The sequence below is a fragment of the Homo sapiens genome, chromosome 9 (genome assembly GCF_000001405.40).
Source record: "Homo sapiens chromosome 9, GRCh38.p14 Primary Assembly".
Lineage (NCBI taxonomy): Eukaryota > Metazoa > Chordata > Mammalia > Primates > Hominidae > Homo > Homo sapiens.
The window spans coordinates 109261387-109281547 of record NC_000009.12 but is presented as its reverse complement, the minus strand read 5'-3'; the positions used below and the strand labels follow the sequence as shown (position 1 = coordinate 109281547).

At 44.4% G+C, this 20161-nt stretch overlaps 1 protein-coding gene across 9 annotated transcripts in view; it reads left to right on the top strand.

Annotated features, from left to right (window-relative positions):
* The window catches only part of EPB41L4B (erythrocyte membrane protein band 4.1 like 4B), a 149086-nt gene that overhangs the window by 39512 nt on the left and 89413 nt on the right, over positions 1–20161 (top strand). For all 9 annotated transcript variants that reach the window (XM_017014815.2, XM_017014814.2, NM_019114.5 and 6 more), the window contains exons 2-6: positions 1627–1731; positions 13115–13157; positions 13997–14075; positions 16524–16568; positions 18446–18498. In XM_017014815.2, coding sequence (XP_016870304.1) covers positions 1627–1731; positions 13115–13157; positions 13997–14075; positions 16524–16568; positions 18446–18498 — 325 coding nt within the window. The remainder of the gene's footprint in view (positions 1–1626; positions 1732–13114; positions 13158–13996; positions 14076–16523; positions 16569–18445; positions 18499–20161) is intronic.

Here is a 20161-nt window from a genome sequence, read left to right as displayed (position 1 = left end):
TATTTTTAGTGGAGACAGGGTTTCACCATGTTGGCCAGGCTGGTCTTGAACTCCTGATCTCAAGTGATCTGCCCGCCTCAGACTCCCAAATTGTGGGGATTACAGGCATGAGCCACTGTGCCCGGCCTTTTTAATTACAGCCATCCTAGTGAGTGTGACATAGTATTTGATTGTAATTTTGATTTGCATTTCCCTCATGACTAGTGATGCTGAGCATCTTTTCATGTGTTTATTGACCATTTGTATGTTTGGGGGGAACTAGTTGTATGTACCCTCTGTCCATTTTTAAATTGGATACTTGTCTTTTTATTATTGAGCTGTAATAGTTCTTTATATATTCTAGATTTGCAAACATGTTCTCCCATCTGGGTTGTCTGCACTTCATGTCTCCATGTCCTTTGAAGCAAAAAAAAAAAAAAAAGTCTCACATTTTGATGACGTCCAGTTTATTTTTTCTTTTGTTGCTTGTGCTTTTGGTGTCATAGCTAAGAAATCATTGTCCAACTCAAAGTCATGAGGCTTTATGCCTGTGTTTTATTCTGAGAGTTTTATAGTTTTAGCTCTTACATTTAGGTCTTTGATGCACTTTGAATTAATTTTTGCATATGCTGCCGTCTACTCTTAGGTTACCCAGTGCTGCAGTTAAAGGGAGAGTCAGTGCTGGATTCTTTCCCTTTCTTTACCAGTTTCCATAATAAGGAGTTGCCACCGAGTCATCCTATGGAGTTGGGTTTTTTTTTTTCTTTGTGATTATGGCACTTAGATTTAAGCATATTTGTGTTTGGATCCATTGAGAATGATGTCGTTTTATCTGAGAAGCGTGTCTGCTCCGCTTGGGTGACTATTAAGAAGCCTTTTCATTTGTCAGAGACTTCAGTATCCTTGTGGTGGTTTCTCATTCAGACTCTCTCTCAGTTTTCCCAAGGAGAGGTGGGGAGAGTAGGTATCCTGAGGCCCGTTTTACAGGGGCAGGAATAGAAACGTTAGGAGGAGTGACTTGTACGAAGTCAAGTGGCAGATGCAGGACTTGACCCCTTGTTTCTCCGACTGCTTTCTTGTGCTCATGCCCCATGTGTATACCACATAGTCAAAACCTTGGCATGAACCTGGAATTTGAGTTTGAGTCCTGGTTATGGCCTGTGACCTCCAGCAGGTCTTTGGGTTTCCCTGAGACTTCGTTACCTACTTTGTGAAATCGGAAGACTGGAAGAGCCAATTTCAGAGGATGAGCTTTCTTTCCTAAGTAAGGTTGCCTGCATTGAGAAACAGCCCAGCTTTTGCTACGCTAGAGTAAGGCCCTGTTACACCCTTCTTCAAGTGTGTCTGATTTTGGCAAAGCTTATCTTCCCATGTAGGTATTCATCCAAAAAGTATTCTTTTTGTAAGAAGAGACTAGCAAAAGTTAACAGGGTTATCTAGATTCTTAACTTTATGCTATTATGTGGCATTTGAGTTTCTTTAATCATGAGTTTGTATTACCCTTATAATCAAACTAATTACAAATTTAAAAATTTGTGTGTGCTGACATGTATGCAATTTACAAAGAGAAGTAGGTTTTTTTTAACCTTTTTTTTCTTATCTAGCTGTCTCACCCTAAGTTTTTTCATCTTCCCAATTGTCTTCCAGAAACATGCCAAAGGCCAGGATTTGTTTGATCAGATTGTGTACCACTTGGACCTTGTGGAAACAGATTACTTTGGCCTCCAGTTCCTCGACTCTGCCCAGGTTGCGGTAGGTTATTGCTTTGATTCATTTCAGAACAGATTGGCTTTTCATTGCTAATTGCACGTCCACAGTTGCTAGAAATGGGTAGAGAAAAACAAGACTAAAACTGTGATACTGTGCCAGTAACAGGCATTGGGATGGAGGTTGTGGTGCCCAAGTGCCATGCGTCACAATGCTTGTAGGATGCCTCACCCTTGAGGTGGCCAGTAACCAGGAGAGGATGTGAATGGGATTCATTAGGGATGCATTATAGGCACATTTCTAGAAAAGGTAGAAAGAAGAAACATCATTATAGAAGTTCTTTCAGGCTGGGGGCAGTGGCTCGTGCCTGTAATCCCAGCACTTTGGGAGGCTGAGGCAGGTGGATTGCTTGAGTCCAGGAGTTCAAAACCAGCCTGGGCAACAAGGTGAAACTCCATCTCAACAAAGAATACAAAAATTAGCCAGGCATGGTGGCATGTGCCTGAAGTCCCAGCTACTAGGGAGGCTGAGGTAGGAGGATTGATTGAACCCAGATGGTCAAGGCTGCAGTGAGCTCAATCGATCCTGCCACCTCAGCCTCCCTAGTGGCTGTATTCCAGCCTGGGTGACAGAGTAAGACCCTGTCTGAAAAAAAAAAAAAAAGGAAAAGAAAGAAACTCTTCTAATGGTGCTGCTTTTATTTTTAACCAGCAGAAGAGGCTGTGCCACCATCTTCTTACAGAGTCTGGCTGGGTAGAGAGCAGGTGCTGTGAACGGAGCTGAATGCCAGCCAGGCTTAGTGGGGTTGGGGGTGGATGGGGTTGGAGCAGGTCTTGCTGTTGCCGAGAACCATCTTGCAGGTTCCAGGAAGCTGTGTTAGGTCAGCACTTTACTTACTTTGCCTGAGACAGAACTGTTCACAGTGGAGATGTTAGAATGAGTGAACTCCACAAAGCTCAGACCCACTCTTTTTAAAAGCAGGAATGACTTCATAGTTCCCCTTCCCAACAAAATCTAGCTTGGGGTTTCAAAGATAATTTATTCGACAATCTAAATCTATTTATGGAGTGCCCATTATGCACTGGGCCCTGTGCTGAGCATTGCGGATAAAGCAGTGCACATAGATATGTCATATGCCAGATGGTAATAGGAGTCAAGAAAAATAAAGGCGAGGAAAGGGTGGACTGGGGGGAGGGGAAGCACTATTTTAGACAGTGTATTAAAGTCTGGGTTCCCTGATCAGGATGTTTGAGCTGGAGACCTGGAGCTCCCATAATGGTTAAGGCTGTCTACTGGAAGATACTTATCAGATACTTCCTGATTGTATCTGGAAGTTGTCAGGTGACATGTGACATTTGTAAGGTGAAGATGTACAAAATCGGTACCTGGGAATTAGGTCTGCTGGAGAATGTTAGTGACATGCTGAGTCCTTCGGTGACAGATTGGAATCTGGACGGGAATGCATCCTGGCTACAGTGCCTCTGGGGTGGACACTCCCACTGGATGTCCCTGTGCAGATGTGTCCCTCAACCTCAGCCACTTCCTCTGCATCTTCAGGACGTCCTGTTATGCCACCCCACCCCACCCCCAAACTGTGTCCTCCTCAAACTGTCCTCCTCGAACCCTCCCGGGTTCCTTCTCATTTCTCAGCCAGAGACTCTCACTCCGTCCACCGGACCCGGGAGAAGGGCAGAACAACTTTTCCTCTTTCCACCTCTGAGTCCAATTCCGCTTCCTTTGAGGTTGGGCCGACCAGTGTCCTACCCTCTGACCTCATGACTGTCCTTCGCATCCCTCGAGGCCTTTGGTGTCTCAGTTTTTCTCTTCCTCTGGGTAGCCTCAGGACTGAAGTTACTGGCCCTCCTACATATTCTGGACACTGTTTCCTGTCATTTAAGCTTCATTTGAGCAGATTGACAAGACCCACATAGATTCTCGTGTGTCCTGTCACCACCTGCACTCCAAGATCCAGAATTCTGCCAGTCCCCATTCCAGGATAACTTCCCTTGATTCCTTCCATTTTCCCAGTTCCCCTCCCTCTGGGCTTGGCCCACAGCGGTCTCCTTCTGCCCTTTGTCCCCTCCCAGCCTTCTCCTGCCCTGGCCTTCCTCCCAGCCCCAGCCAGGCCTCGGCCACCTCACCTGTGTCCTCACTTGGCCTTTGATTCTCCTGCCCCCGTGACTGTCCCCTGGCCTCCCCTTGACACGCAGGCCCATCTGTTTCCTCTGTGGCTTGTCCCAGCCTGCCAGGCGTTGCTGGAGAGAGCCACGGTCTGTGCCTTCTGGCATCAGCACCGATCACAGGTTCAGCAGAGTCCAAGCTCCCGAGCTGCTCCCTGAGCCTCAGTAGCCCCAGATTGACTCTTGGCCACCCGACAGGTCCATGTCTGGATCTGAGCACAGACCTTTAGTCCAGTCCCCACGGAGGCTTTGTTCCAGCAGTTGCCTCACCTGCTGAGAAGACCGAGGTCGTTCAGCTAAAATTCCTTGAATTTTCTTCCCCTACACTTCCGATTCTGTCTGTCCATCTTTTTTTTTTTTTTTTTTGCATGTCTACTTCTCAATCTACTCTCTACACCTGGAGCGGCAGGCCTATTTCCACTTGCTTCCTGAATGCCATATTTAGGGTTCTCTCTGTCCCCAGCATCCTCCACCTGTTTCCAGCACCTGCCACTCTCCAGCCCTCTTCTTCCCTGGAACTCTTCTTGATTCTGCCTTCTCCTGTGTGTCTTAAAGCGTGTGGTATTTTTGGCTTCAGAATATCTGTGGCCCTGAACTAGAAGTCAGACTGGACCTTGTTCCTGGCTCTGCCTCTGACTCATTTGGTAGGCTTTAGATAGGCTGCCTTGCTCCTCTGGCCTCTGTTTTCTCATCTGTAAAATGGGGTACTTGGACCTGTTCTCCAAGAAAACTTACACTTCTAATGTTCAGTCATTCTGAGTCTAAAGGGGACGTTGGCATGTCTGCTGCAAATGCGTTCTCTAGTTAGAAAGGAGGAGGTATCTTTCATTTCTGCCCTTAGAACCTATGCCTGTTACCTTGGCAGCATGTCCTCATCCCCAAGTGACCCCTCATTAGCCACTCAGATTCCCAGAAAGCCAAGTCTGTGACTCCATTATGAAGGCCTTTGCCATGAGCCTCTGCTGACTTGGCTGGCAGGCTTTCCCGCCCGCCAGTGCCCTGTCACTGTGCAGCAGGAGGGGTGTTCACAGCAGGATACAGGCGGCTTTCCCAGGCCAGACACCTGAAGATGCTCAGGCTCTCAGGCCTTTCCAGCATCCAACTCTACAAATTTGAGGCAAAAACAGGTGGGAGGGCGAGGGTCCTCATCTGCCTCCAGCTCTGAGGATGCAAGAGCTGTGCGGCAGCAGCAGTTCCCAGGACCCTCTAGTCATTCCCATCTTTGCTTTCTGAGCTGGACTCCTTACAGTCTGGGTCTTATGATGCCTGCACTTATCTCTGTGCCTTTGCTTATGCTGTTTCTCCTTCTGCTGTTTCTCACCTGTTTAAACTCCCAGCCATCCTTCAAGACCATCTCAGATGACCCCCCCCTCACCCTTCATGAAGCGTGTCCTGAACTCTCAAAGTGTTTTTTCTACTATGCAAATCTTATTTTGCCTTCTGTGGCCATTTGACTGTTTGGCCTTGGGTTTGTTATTTGTGTGTGTGTGTGTGTGTGTGTGTGTGTGTGTGTGTGTGTGTGTGTGTATACACACACGTATATATTATGTATATATACACTATATATGTGTATATAGATACACATATATAATATATATGTATATATACACATATTTATGTATATACATATATTTTATATATATATATAAAACTTTAAATTTAGATCCTAAGACTTAGGACCTCCTCCTCTTAACTCGGTGATTCTTGGGGACAAGGCACATAACCTAGAACCTTCTTTTTTAGCCCCAGAAGGAACCTGAGGGAGAGGCATTTGTCAAATCTTTCTAGATCTTTCTTTTACCATCTTCTAGATGGTGAAACCAAAGCCCTTAGATCTTGGCAAGTCATTTAGTGAATAGCACAGCTTGGACTCAAACTCAAATTTTGCAATTTCAGGTCTATGTGCTCTTTCTAGTACACCCTACTCTTGAGTCTCAGTTTCCTAGCTGTAAAGTGGAGGTAGTGTAATAACATCTGTTTCATGGGGAATTTGAGGAGCTCAGAGAATTAATGGAGGAGAAAAGTTTTTGTAACCTGGGACGTGGATATGGGTCTCCTCTTTGTAGCTGGGCAGTGTGAGGGGGGACCGGAAGTCATCACTGCCCCCAGGGGTGAGCATGCTAAGAAGGTACAGTTAGCTGATTGGAACCTGTAAGGCCCGCCTTGCCTGTGGGAGAAACCTTAGCCAATTTAATCAAGAGGCTTTTGGGAGAGTCTGCTGAGATGGCTTTTGGGGTCATTGATTTTTATAGGACCTGGGAGGTGATTGGATGTCATAGGAGGTGTTTCTGCAAACAGTAGGGTAATAGATGGACCCGGAAGGGAATGGTTCACTTGGCTATTGGCTTATTGCCCCATAATTGAGCCTCCTTCAAGCAATGGTGTTCCCACCCAGCCCCTGACATGCAGATCAGAGGTTGGCAGCTGCAGGGCTCTTGGCATGGCTCTCTGCATACCCAGCTTATATCCCCAGCTCCCTGAAAAGAACCACGCCTGGTTTCCATAGTGCCCTGCCCAGCCCTGAAGCAACTGTCAAAGCGTATTGATATCACCTATTTTTAGCAGTTGGGACTAGGACCTCCTGTTTCCCTTTTCCATGTCAAAACAGGAGGCCATCCAGGAACCCACTCTGCAGATTTCACTTTGGTACAGCTCAAAGCAGGGGCTGGGAGTCTGTGTCTACATATCAAAGCTTGCTTCTGAGAGCCAAGGGCTCAGGCCTGCACTGTCTCACTTTCCCACTGCCTGATCACGATAAGTGCTGTTTACCCAGTTCTCGCCCTGAGCCCAGCACTGAACTACAGTCTTTGTGAACTCTTGTTTAATATTCATCACTGATCTATAAAGTAGGCCATAAAACAGAACCATTTTACAGATGATGAAGCTGAGGCTCAGAGACACTGATGTTCCTAAGAATGTTGTAAAGGTTAAAGCCAGGATTCAGAACTTGGTCTCATTCCAAAGTCCAGCACTTTCCACTTGGCTATACGGCTTGAATATGCACTTGGTTCATGCGTACATACATATATAGAAGGAAGAAAGGGAAGGTTCAGTCAATCCCATTCAGCCAGCTTTGACTTGGAGCTTACTCAGTGCTGAGCTCTGTGGTTGCACAGATGAGCTGGATGTTGTCCCTGCCTGCCACATTCTGTTGGGAGACATAGACAAGTAATCCCCTGAACTACGGTGTATTCAGTCCTCTAAAGAACCAGTGTAAAGGTCCCTCTGTGGGTCTGGAGGAGAGACTGTCTACGTATTACTGATAAAATGAACAAGATATCCAAGAGAAAGGGTGAACACTGATGTGGGCCACAGAGAATGAGAGGAGTTTGCCAGGCAGAGGAGGGGCAGGGATTTGGGGCAGTGGTAGTAACAGCCCCACCAAGCAGGAGCCTCCCTTCCTCTCTTGGGAGCAGGTGTCCTGGAGGGTAGATGTGGCCACTGTAAGTCCTTCCCTAAGCTGCTTTTCAACATGAAAAGGGAGCTTTTTCTGATGGTACATTTTGCAGTAAGGAATCCAAAATAGATTATTTTGACCTTTGTCTCAAGACTTGTCAGATGTGCGTCCTCTGGCCTTTGCAGCATAGAATCTGGCAGTGAGAGGCGCAGGGCTGCATAGTGAGGTTGGTACATAGATATGGCGCCTGCTGGGAGGGTTCAATAGCCACTAAAGGGACTCTTGCAGCTCCTTTGGCTTTGCTTTAATGATTGGTCAGAATGTCATCACATTTGCCACTTGTGTGGACACTACTGGGTGCTCTTGCCATCTCAGATGTAATTATAAGAAGAAAAGAGTGACTATTAGGTATACCTGGAGGGGACATAGGAGAGTATAAATGCTAAGAGTGGGATCTATGGGGATCTATGTTACAACTGCTGGAAACAGACAAAACCCCTTCCTTCCACCCATTGGGTTCAGTGCAGTTTCCATAGACAGTGCTTAGGGGTTAGTTCTGTTCACAGGGGCTGAAACTGAGGCTCAGGTGCCCGTGCTCTGAGGTGGGCTGGGGGTGTGGGGGGGCTTGCTTGTGGCCACACATGAGGTGAGTGGCAGAGCTGCAACTTGAACTCTAATCTTCTGCCTCCTTGCATGGTGGTCCAAAGAAATGTAAACTGCACTCAAGAAATGCCACAGGGCGTGGTGTGGTGGCTCACGTCTGTAATCCCAGCACTTTGGGAGGCCAAGGCAGGTGGATCACCTGAGGTCAGGAGTTCAAGACCAGACTAGCCAACATGGCAAAACCCTGTTTCTACTAAAAATATAAAAATTAGCCAGGCGTGGTGGCACATGCCTGTAACCCCAGCTACTCGGGAGGCCGAGGCAGGAGAATCACTTGAACCCAGGAGGCAGAGGTTGCAGTGAGCCCAGATCACACCACTGCACTCCAGCCTGGGTGACAGAGCGAGACTCTGTCTCGAAAAGAAAAAAAAAAAAGAAATGCCACAGGCCTCTCCTCATCCTGTCTCTGAATGCTGGGAGGCAGGCCGAGTGTTTTCCTGCCCACGTGCAAATACTGGTGCTGAATCGGAAGCTGCTAAAGGGGTCTCTACCACTGATTTAGATGATTCCAAGGAAGTCATCTCACACCAGCAGGTAGCTGGTGTTAAGTGAGTTTATAGGGCTTGGTCATCATGGGGAGCAGGAAAGATCCCCCCACAGGCAGAGAAGGCACTTTAGGCTAGTCCGTGGTGTGGAAACCTAGAGTACTGGATGCTGACGCTGACAGGGGTGTGAGTTTGAATTCCAGCTCTGCCTCTTATCAAGGCTGCACCTCCCACACCCCAGCCTTAGTCAGAGGATGGATGTGATACAGTAAACTCCAAAGGCATTCATCCCCTTCCTTCTCTTTTCATCCTTTGGGTACAATTTGATTATCTCTTCAGATTCCTTCCAGCTCTAGTTTAAACACAAACTATATATATGTATTTGAGATAGGGTCTTACTCTGTCACCCAGGCTGGAGTACAGTGGTGTGATCTCGGCCCACTACAACCTCTGCCTTCCTGGTTCAAGGGACTCTTCTGACTCAGCCTCCCAAGTAGCTAGGACTACAGGTATGCACCACCACACCTGGCTAGTTTTTGTATTTTTAACAGAGATGGGATTTTACCATGTTGTCCAGGCTGGCCTTGAACTCCTCACCTCAAGTGATCCACCTGCCTTGGCCTCCCAAAGTACTGGGATTACAGACGTGAGCCACCACGCCTGGCCTATTTTTAATATACACAGGGTCTTATTGTCACCCAGGCTGGAGTGCAGTAGTGTGATCGTAGCTCATTGCAGCTTTGATCTCCTGGGCTCAAGTGATTCTCCCACCTCAGCCTCCTCAGCAGCTGGGACTACAGGTGTATGCCACCATGCCTAGCTATTTTTAAAAAAGAAAAGTTTATAGAGATGGGGTCTTGCTATGTTGCCCAGGCTGATCTTGAATTCCTGGGCTCAAACGATCCTTCTGCCTCAGCCTCTCAAATTGTTGAGATTACAGGTGTGAGCCACCATGCCTGACTCAGATACTCTTCATAAGCCAAGAAAATTTGCAGGTCCTAGAAATCCCGTTATGAGTTTCGTCACTCAGACTTAATGGTGAAGGCTCAGGAGATGTTCCAGCAGAGAGTTGTTAGATGCTCTTCAACTCCTGAGCTGCTCTGAGGCCTTGTAGTTCCAATGCTCCCATGTAGATTTTAGATGATTAAATTCTACAACCAGCCTTATGGGTGTCATATTTCCAGAATTGATGTACTATTGGAACAGATGGGCCTTGCCAAGATCATCTCACACATCTTGATTTATGGAAAGGATTTTGCCAGATGGACTTGGATGAGAAATTCAGATTAGAAACCACCTTTCTAACACCCGTTAGAGTGTTTGAGTGAAATGTCCTGCCATTTGAACTCAGAATTGCACCTGTCTGTTTCCAGTGACTGGTTTAATGGTCTGCTAAGAGGGCCGGAGCCGTTTGCCTTGGCGTTTACCCACAGGCGGCATGGCTATATTTAGCCAAGACACAGGTGAACATCTGAGACAGGTCCCGCCGCTGCTGAATACAGTCCTCAAAGCCGAGCGTAGGATACAGTTTACTAAATGCCATGTTGGGCTTTCATTGCCCCAGCGTTCAAGCCACAAGGTGGTCTTGTGGGATAAAACACGAGTGATCAGAGTCTGGAAGGCCCCTGCAGCTAAGAAGAAAGTCAGATCATTTTGAACTGGTTGGATACAAGATAGGTTTTGTCATCTCTCATTTTAGGATTGTGACTGGGTTTCTTATTGCCTCTGATGCAGGCAAGCAAAACCTGATCTGAACACCAAGGGGTCAAGGAGCTTTTAAAATGAGGAAGCCGTTTCTGATTCCATTCTCGGCTTCACCAGCCCCAGACTTTTCATAGGCATCTATCCTGGCAGGTCCTGCTTTGGGCAGGGCTCTGTGGCTGAGCAGGAAGGATGGAGCCCAGCCCACAATGGCTGAAGGGGTGCCTTTTGCAGTGTGGCCAGAGGGCAAAGCAGTCAGCCACCCGGTACCAGCATCTGGCTGTGGTCTGCCTGTGAATGCACACCAGCCACAGGTGTTTGGCCATTTCACCTCTTGGACTAGCCTGTAAAACCTGAAATTGCTTGAGATTTTGCAGAGCCCAAACAGCAATTTCGAGAAGGGGTTGTGCATGTTTCAAGATCATCAGAACCTCTTCCTGGGTAGGAGAGGATGTGGAAAACTTCAGTACTAAATATTTAACGGGCACACTGGAAGCATTTATGAAAACTGATGCTCTGAGACTCTGTTTAATGAGTCTTGGGTGGGACCTGAATTTTGACTTTTTCGAAGTTCCTCAAGTGATGGTAATACTAATACACAGCCAGGATCAAAAAGCACAGCCAAGGAGACTGCACAAGTTGGACTTGGCTAAAGATGAGACTTTGACAGTAGAGGGAGAGGAAAGGGAGGCCTAAACTTGTTCTACTCAACATGGTGGTGAGAAGACTAAAGAAAGGAAAGAAATGGAACAAGCTCCTTTAAGTGACAAGCCTCTCATGGGCTAATTAGACTAGGGGATGAATGGTGAATTCTTTTGAAAGTGAAAAGAACAGTTTTAGTCATAGCCATTAGCATGTTACTTGGTAGGAAAGTAAATATTGGGCTTAAATCAAGTCTGTATCAGCCCCCTCCAGGGGCCAAAGTTGGGGGTTTTCAGCTTGTTTGAGGGCACTGGCAGCATCTGATTCTAATGAGGTGAACTCATAAAACAACAAATGAATATGGACGTGACAACCCAGCCCACCCCCTAAAAATAATATTCTCATTAAAATAAACAATTATGAAGCAAGGTAAAAAGAAAGTAAATGGCATTCACAGCCCCACCATCCCAAAATAACCTCTACAATTCCTTCTGGATGTATCTAGATAGAAAATAATAATTTTATATAAATGAGATTCCACCTGATTTTTTTTTCTCATGTAACATTGTGCTGTGGATCTCTTGTCACATCAATAAATACAGGCCTACATCAGTTTTAAATAGTATTTCATTATATGGATGAGCCATTTTCTAATCCGTCTTTGTTGATGGACATTTAGGTCATTTCCAATTCAAAGCTATTAACAATGAGATAAAGCATCCTGCACATGTGCGTCTGAGATACACATCCTGCTGCGGTGACATTACATGGCTGCCTAGCCTGGAGTGGAGATGACAAAAGCCCCACAACCCACGTTCTCCCATGGCACTGCCCCCAGCTTATTGTATTATCAATCATCTGTTGTTCGCTTTTGTGTTTCCTTATCCCCTTCCTCCCACACAGTCATAATGGCCTCTTTGGTTAGGTGTGGAGTACACTGTCCTGGTTGGGTCCTGCCGCTCCTTGTTATTAGACTGTGCAGAGTGCAAATGTGTCTGAAAGCCCATTGGCAGTCAGCAGAATGGCCTCTGACTCTGAGTAACTCATGAGTAGCCCACTCTGCTTGTATCACCCCAGCCGTCTTTCTAACAGAGAAGTTCCAGCATGCATTAGGTCCACATAAAGTGATGGGAACAGTCCCTACTTGCCTCACTTTAAAAAAATAATTTATATTTAATATTTATTTATTTCTCAAGAGTCTTAACAGGGGCCTGCTGGGTGCCATATCTTGTGCCTGGCACAGGAAACAGTCACAATTAAGTGCACGGTCCCTGGCCTCCAGGAGCTGATGTCTGTCTGCACAGAAGGGCTCAGTAGAATGCTCCTAAATGCAGTTCTCCATGGAAGTTAAGTGGCTGAGACTCCTTAGGACAGCAGTATCAACGACTTTGACTTCATAGAGAAACTTTTGTGTGAGGCAGATGATTTTGTAATCTCCTCAGATAAGACTGAAGCAGTTCTTTTGGTCAAAGCTAGAGGAAGTTAAAATGCCCTCATTGACCAGAGCAAAATGATCTTAGGCAAATCCCTGCCTGCCTTTGCATTTGCCGTGTGGCTCATTTTCCTGGCAAAAGAATAAAGGGGTTGTGAATTTTAGTTCTGTACTTTAAAGAGTTTAGGACGACAACCTCAAGACCAGTGCATAATGAGAGATTATTGGTATCATAGCTTGTACTTTTTGCTAGATTAATGGAGACCTGGAATGCTTGGAGAAGATTGGCTGTAACTTGAGAAACTCAGAAGGAAAAGGCAGTTGGTGATTCTGCTGATCAATTGGTTAAGGGGTTTTATGTTCTTTCAGGCACCACTTTGTAAAACTTCCAGAAACTAGGGAGTCCCCTCCCCAGAAAAATGCACATATATGCATAAACGTTGAATTTTTTTTTTTTTTTTTTTTGAGACGGAGTTTCGCTCTGTCGCCCAGGCTGGAGTGCAGTGGCGCGATCTCGACTCACTGCAAGCTCCGCCTCCTGGGTTCACGCCATTCTCCTGCCTCAGCCTCCCATGTAGCTGGGACTACAGGCGCGCGCCACCATGCCCGGCTAATTTTTGTATTTTTAGTAGAGACGGGGTTTCACCGTGTTAGCCAGGATGGTCTCGATCTCCTGACCTCGTGATCCGCCCGCCTCGGCCTCCCAAAGTGCTGGGATTACAGGCGTGAGCCACCGCGCCCGGCCAACGTTGAATTTTTTATACCATCCCAAGCAGTTTGCAGATTCCCAGCCTAAGAACCCATGATATGATCCAAACCCTGGTTTTTGTGGGTAGAATTACTAAGGCTTTTAGAGGAGGGTAACTGTGAGGGCTGAATAACCTTGCTGATGAACTATTCCTAAAGAAACTTTTTTTCTTTCTTTCAGCACTGGCTGGATCATGCCAAACCCATAAAAAAGCAGATGAAAAGTAAGTAAGCAGAATTTAGCTCACTCATTTATTTTTTTTCTGAGAGTAAACTCCTTTGCCAGTGTTTTGAGGTGTTATGTTTTCATTAGAACTTGGAAGCATTTTAAAAATCAATTCGGTATTAAGTGGATGATTTTTAATTTCTTAAGGCTAGCCAAAGATGAGAGTTTAAAATTTGAATAAAAATGTTTAGTGGATATTGAAAAACCAACTGTGCTCTCATTTGAAATCAGACGCCTCTGCCAATGAGAACTGATTAACCTGCTATTCAGAAACTCAGCTTTATACCTATTATATCTACTTCTAATGAGTTACAACATAGACTCAGAGGATGAGAGAGTAGGAGGGCTCTTTGATAGTCTGCTACAGCTTTCTCAATGTACAGGTGTGGAAACCACATTTTTTAATGTTGTTTATGCTTGGGTAATTTTTAAAAATTCATATTCTCTTAAAAGTACTTTAAAGTATTTTTAGAGAACAGAACACTTTGCATCACTTTCCTTTAGCCTTTGTACTTTGTAAAAACTAGCTGTCAGTTTGGAGTATTGTGGCATCAGGGGTGAAAATAAAATGTCAGCTTTTAGTAATCTGTCTAAATCACTAGGGTTTTTCTCCTGGAATGAGGTTACTAGCTAAACTATCTTAGTCAGCACAAAAGTCCATCCATCTCAGTTTCCCTGATGAGGACTGAAAAGAATTGGCTAGTGTCGCGTGCCCAGTTATGCTGTCCTGATGTTGTGCTAAATGTTATAGATTTAACGTGCTTTCCCTTTTGTCCATCCTGTGATCTTCAAAACTGGGGGAAAAACATCTTCAACCTTCCATCTCCAAATGTTTAGTTGGACCTGCTTATGCTTTACACTTTCGAGTTAAATACTATTCTTCAGAACCAAACAACCTTCGTGAGGAGTTTACAAGGTAGGCCACGATGCAGAACAAGCTCCCGCCCAGCAGGGCTTGCCTTACATGTCATTTATGGCTCTTCTCAATTGTGGGTTTGCCTCTTCTTCTGTCTGCTGTCTATTTCTCAGCAAGAGTTATTAGTACTTTTCCGGTGCTTCCGTGTTCCGTTAAAAATCCACAACTTTGCTTAATTTGACATTTTTCTGAGTGAATAGAAATTAGAAGATACATTTTCTTGTCACACTTCTATTTTCTTGGACCCTGGGTAAATTAATTGGTTGCTCTGCGGCGTTTTATTTTTATCTCAACTACAAAAAGGGAAGGCAGATATTGGAAAAGCATTTCTCAGTCCTTAATCGCCATCTTATGTTTTAAGAGATTGCAAAATATTCTCTTGATTGTTACAATACAAGGAACCTCTTTAAGAAAAACAGAGTAATTATAGCAAAGTTGTTAAAATCCCTTCATGTTATCTTTTAACTCCCCTGAATTTCTTTTTTTTTTTTTTTTTTTTTTTTTGAAACAAAATCTTGCTGTGTTGCCTAGGTTGGAGTGCAGTGGCATGATCTTGGGTCACTGCAGCCTCCACCTCCTGGGTTCAAGCGATTCTCCTGCCTCAGCCACCCGAGTAGATGGGATTACAGGCGCACACCATCACACTCTGCTAATTGTTATATATTTGACTGGAGACAGGGTTTCGCTGTGTTAGCCAGGCTGGTCTCAGACTCCTGACCTCAAGTGATCCACCCGCTTTGGCCTCCCAAAGTGCTGGGATTACAGGTGTGAGCCACTGCGCCCGGCCTGAATTTCTTTTTTGTTTTGTTTGCCCATGTCTATGTCTTGGACTTCAGAAACAGGGAAGAAGAAAAAGAAAATTTGAGTAACATTTTAAATGTGGAGTTTCCCTCTACCCTTTTCCATCAGTGAAATTCTCTACAAAGCCTTTTCCTGCTTTTGATATCCCCAGAGCCTCCTTGTCGTTGTTTGTGTGATGGACTGCAGTGGTGACATATAGGCTATGTAGGCTGCTGGGTGGTTCTTAGGGAGATGACCCCTAAATAATGCCTTAAAGACTGACTGGTTATCACCATTTCCCCTGGGCTTTTTTTTTGGAGACAAGGTCTGGCTCTGTCAACCAGGCTGGAGTGCAGTGGCGTGATCACAGCTTACTGCAGCCTCAACCTCCCAGGCTCAAGTGATCCTCCCACCTCAGCCTCCCTAGTAGCTGGGACCACAGGTGTGTGCCACCACCCCTGGCTAATTTTTTGTATTTTTTAAAATAGAGACAGCGTTTTGCCCTGTTACCCAGGCTCCTGCTAGGCTGCTATGGTTAGTTTTTCTTATAGGAATCAAGAGTTCTGGCCATGTTTATACTGTGTCTCTTGTGAGATGAGTATACAAGATGGTATCCTGACATTCAGAAGTGAAGTTCAGTGGTGGCCAAACACCTGTCAGGAAGCAGGAACATTCTGGAATGTACTAGAACCTTCAGCACGCCCGATCTCCTTGATTTCTGGCGAACAGTCATTCTAGTGTTGCTCCTCAGAGTCCTCTATGAATGCTGCTTCTAGCTGTCATCAAAGCGATTGGTTTTTAACCCAGGTTGTGTGAATCAGAAACACCTGGGAAGCTTTTGAACAGCTCAGATTCCTGGGGGCCACTCTTGTGTGTAGGATTCTGTTTCCGTAGGTAGGGAGCAGAGCACAGGCAGTTTTGGTTTTTACAAAGCATTGTGAGTGGTTCTGATGCCTACATCCTCCTGGTAAAAAACAAACAAAAGATACCCCTCTTATTTAAGCCAAGACATTTATTTTTTTACTTGAGTAAACCCCATGCGTGTTATTTGCTGGCTTCTTTCTCATTTTTTGTTACCCCTCTAACCATTTGCAGTCCAGTGCCAGGATTTTTCTTGTTTCGTGTGTGTGTGTGTGTGTGTTTGTGTGCTGTGCCTGTTTTGTGTTTTAAAAGAGTCTGCAGTTACACTGCATCAGGGGAAAAGAACCCCCAGTGGTTTTTTGACTAGAATCAGCTGCAAACTTTTTGTTACAATCCACCGCAGCAGATCTGGAATCCGCTGGTGGAGCTGGCTGAGAGCCAGACCCCGCGGCCCCACCCTGCCTGGGTTATTGGACATGTTGCATGCCCATGTGCCACGTTCGGCTCTCTTCTCCAGCACGGAGGGGGTTGTGGAGGCCGTCATTGGACCATGACGTGTATCACGTTCCATCCTACAAGTATCTTGCGAGTTCCCCACATGCACTCACCTTCCTAGCGTGGTTCTGGGATGCCTTCCTGGAGACCCAAGAGGAGATGCTTCCACCAAAGTTCTCATTTGATTTGGACTCCTTTTTTACAATGCAAAACTCCATGCTGTGTGTGGGGTGGGGTTTGCAGTGGGAAGCTGGGGATTGGGAGCAGCTGGGAAAGAGTTACCCTCTGTTGACTTTTGTATATGTTTGTCAGGTACCTGTTTGTTTTACAACTCAGGCATGACATTCTTTCTGGAAAGTAAGTATGTTTTTGTTCTAACTCTTAACCCAGGATAGATCATAGTGTATTTCAAAATAATTCACTGTTTTAACTCTTTTACCCTTGTTCCCTTTTCAAAATTCAAAAAAAGTGCACCAGGCATTGTAAAGTGAGTCTAATACTTGTATCACTGTCATTATCATCCTATTTTAAATGATTACTATATGGCTTGAAGCATTTCCAAGACCATTTAATATCTTAAGTGATGTGTATTTGGGAATAACTCTCTCCCTGATCACATCACTGTCCCATTCATAATGGCTTTTGTCGTATTTGCAAGCAAGATACGTTATTAGTATGTATACACTTACAAGTATTTGGACAGTCAAAAAGTGTCATTCATCACCATCTGCATATATGTAATGGAAAGAGGTTATGTTCTGATTCCAGTAGAAAGTTTTAGACATCTCATCTCACTTCCTTTTCTCCTCTTAAAAATGGCTTTGAAATACTAGGCCTCTGGCAGCACACAGTGATCATTGAGTATAAGAAGCATTGGCACTGAAGTGGTTGATTTCGCATGCAGTCTTAATTTACCGTAAAGATAAGAGGTTTCAACAGGCATAGCTCTTATAACTGTGTCATTTTTCAGCATCTGTATTGAATATTTTCTATTACATGAAAAACTAAGGCTATATTGAGTCTAAAAAGTAACCCCTGCTATTGAAAAGAATACGTTCTGATTTTGAATATAATCTGAAGGAAATTAAATATGTAATTTCCGAATTTGCAAACTCTCCATAGAATATGTGCTATAAAAACCTCAGTGAAATGTACTCCATAGACCAATAGAACAAGTAGATTGTACAGTGTATACATTTGCCTTATTCAGCCGTGCAATACAGACCTTTGGTTGGTGTGTGTATTATGAGTGTGTGTACTTTTTTTTAATCCTCTCTCCCTCTCTCTCTCTCTCTCTACCTCTCTCTCTCCATACTGTGCTCCTCATACTAAAGGCTGTGTAACTCTAGAAATTGTCTTCGGTTTGGAAAAATATTAATGGCAACACCTTGCATTTGTACAGTACTTTGTAGTTTACATGCAGTTTAGCCTGCTTTGTATTTAAAAGCAGAATGGTGTTCAAGTCCCAACATTGCTCCTTTCCAGCTGGATGACCTGGGGCAAGAGCCCTTAACACTGAGTTCCTCATCTATATAATGGGAGATGGGTCGGGGGGGCTCACTGGCAACACCTATCCTAAAGGTTTACAAACTTGATGCATTGACCAAATTGGATAATATAAATGAAAAGGCTTTGAAAACTATGAAGTGCTATACCAATGTATGTCATTATTGTTTTTCTAACCAAATTTGAAATATTACGTATGAATGAGATCACTGAATTTGCAGTAGTACTCTTCTATGGCTGTGCCTTAGATAGACTTAGAATGCTGAGTGTATCCAGCCATGCTGGCAGTGTTCGATATGGTGTCTGTGTGTTTATTTTTAACGCTATGACCTTGTTTCAAGAAAGATTTGAAGGCAGCTTTAAAAAAGATGCATGTACTATATCAAGATAAAATAAATTTAAAATATGTTTAAAAATAATAAGGCAAAGGGAATACTTTTCATTCTGTTTTCCAAACTTTTCCATTCTTGCCAAATTCAGTAAAATTGTACACGATTGATAGAAACTATACCTACATTGGGTTATTTTGCCCTATGATGAGAATTGACTTTGGGAAATTTGTAGTGCAAGTCGCTTGTTGCATTCTTTAATGTAGACAGCAAAAATATGACTAAGAATACAAGTCATTATCTAAATAGCGCTACCTTTTGAAAAATGATTTTAATGACATTTTGTATGGTTGTACTTAAGTTCCTATTTCGAATTAATTTCATTTTATTTTTTTCAAGATTGAAATGCCCTTATGAAACAGCTGTGGAATTAGCTGCTCTCTGTCTACAAGGTACATTAATCTTTAGTAGTAATTAGCATTTTAATGTTATTGCTTTTTATTTCAACAAATGAGTGTCCACAGTATACCAGGCCCAGTGCTTAGCTTTGGGGATATAAATGAATATGACACGGTCTCTGTCCCCAAGTGGCGTGCAGTCCAGTGAGGAAGGCAAGGAGTAGCAAGGACTGCAGTGCAGTTCCTTCAGGAACAGAGACGTGCAGGAGGTTTGGACAAGGAAGGCCCATTGTGGGGATGAGAAGACCATGAGTCAAGGAACCAAGGCACAAAAGTGCAGAGAGGTTAGCAGCAGTTGAGTGATGCTACAGAGTGAAGTTCAAGCATTTGGACAGGTGGATGACCTCGGGCCCCATTTAAAGAGAAAGAATTTCATGCAGTCAGCAGTGACACCTTTGAAAGCTCTTAAGAGGGAGCAGGCCTGGCCGGATATGCACTTTAGAAAGGCCACGTTGGCTATATGGGGAGAAGGGATCAGAGCAGGACCAAGACTGGGACTGGGAGTCCAGTGAGGAGGTGCTGCTGTAATAGAAGGGAAAGGAAACTAACTAGGGCAGGGGTTTGCACACACACACACACACACACACACACCCCCACACACACCAAGAAATAGCATTGGCAGTACAAGGAGAAGGACTTGGTGATTAGACTTAGGTGTTGAGGGAGGAGTTTGAGATGATTCTCAGGCTGTTTCTGGGGATGGATAGAGGTTAGAAGAGGTGGACTCTGGTGGAGGAAATGGTCTGTGTTGGGTCCCTTGACTAAGAGGTTCTAGAAGCTCCAGCAGGTTCTTGAGTACCTGAATCTGGCTCACTCAGAGAGGTCAGACTGGAAGCATTAATGTCAGGACTGGTGGGGTGCAAAGGGTATTTTTGCATGTGAGTGGGAACTGGATGGTAAGAGGTCTGCCTGCATGATTGTCAGCATTGGCCGTTTATCTGTGTGATGCCCTGGTGGTGTGTAGTTTCGGATGCAGAAGAAACACTTGCTAAAGTCTCTAGCACTAATTAAGAGAATACTAATGTGTAACTGCATATCCGGGATTTCATTAGTACATCAGATAGACATATGTTGTGCACTCATTTGCCAGCATGTTCATCAGCTTCTACTGGATTATGGATTATGACATATTCATTCATAATTAGTAATTACTTATGAATACCATAATGAGAATTGACTTCTCACTTTTGTATTTGGCCAGTTTTTAAAAGTGGAACTGAGAGGTTTTTTCAAATTATAAAATTAGTACACACTTACTACAGAATATCAGGACAACAACCCACCAATAAGACAAGCATAAGGAAGGAAGGAACCCACTGTCCTACCACCCACAGGCAACCAGAATTTCTAGCTATGAGTTTTGAGTGGACTTTTGAAAATGTTATTTTGATCAGTCATCTGCAAATTTTTGTATAATTTTTTTTACTTGGTATTTTTAGTATGTGTATTTTGTCATGTGTACACTCATAGAGATGGTTTTTAATGACCGTAGGATGCTCCCATTACCTGAAACTTCTATTCTTCAGTCACCTTTTAATTCCTGTTGTCTTGAACTCCTGGCCTCAAGCGATCCTCCCACCTCAGCCTCCCAAAGCACTGAGATTACAGGCATGAGCAACCTCACCCAGACTCTTAATTCTTATTATCTAATGGGGAC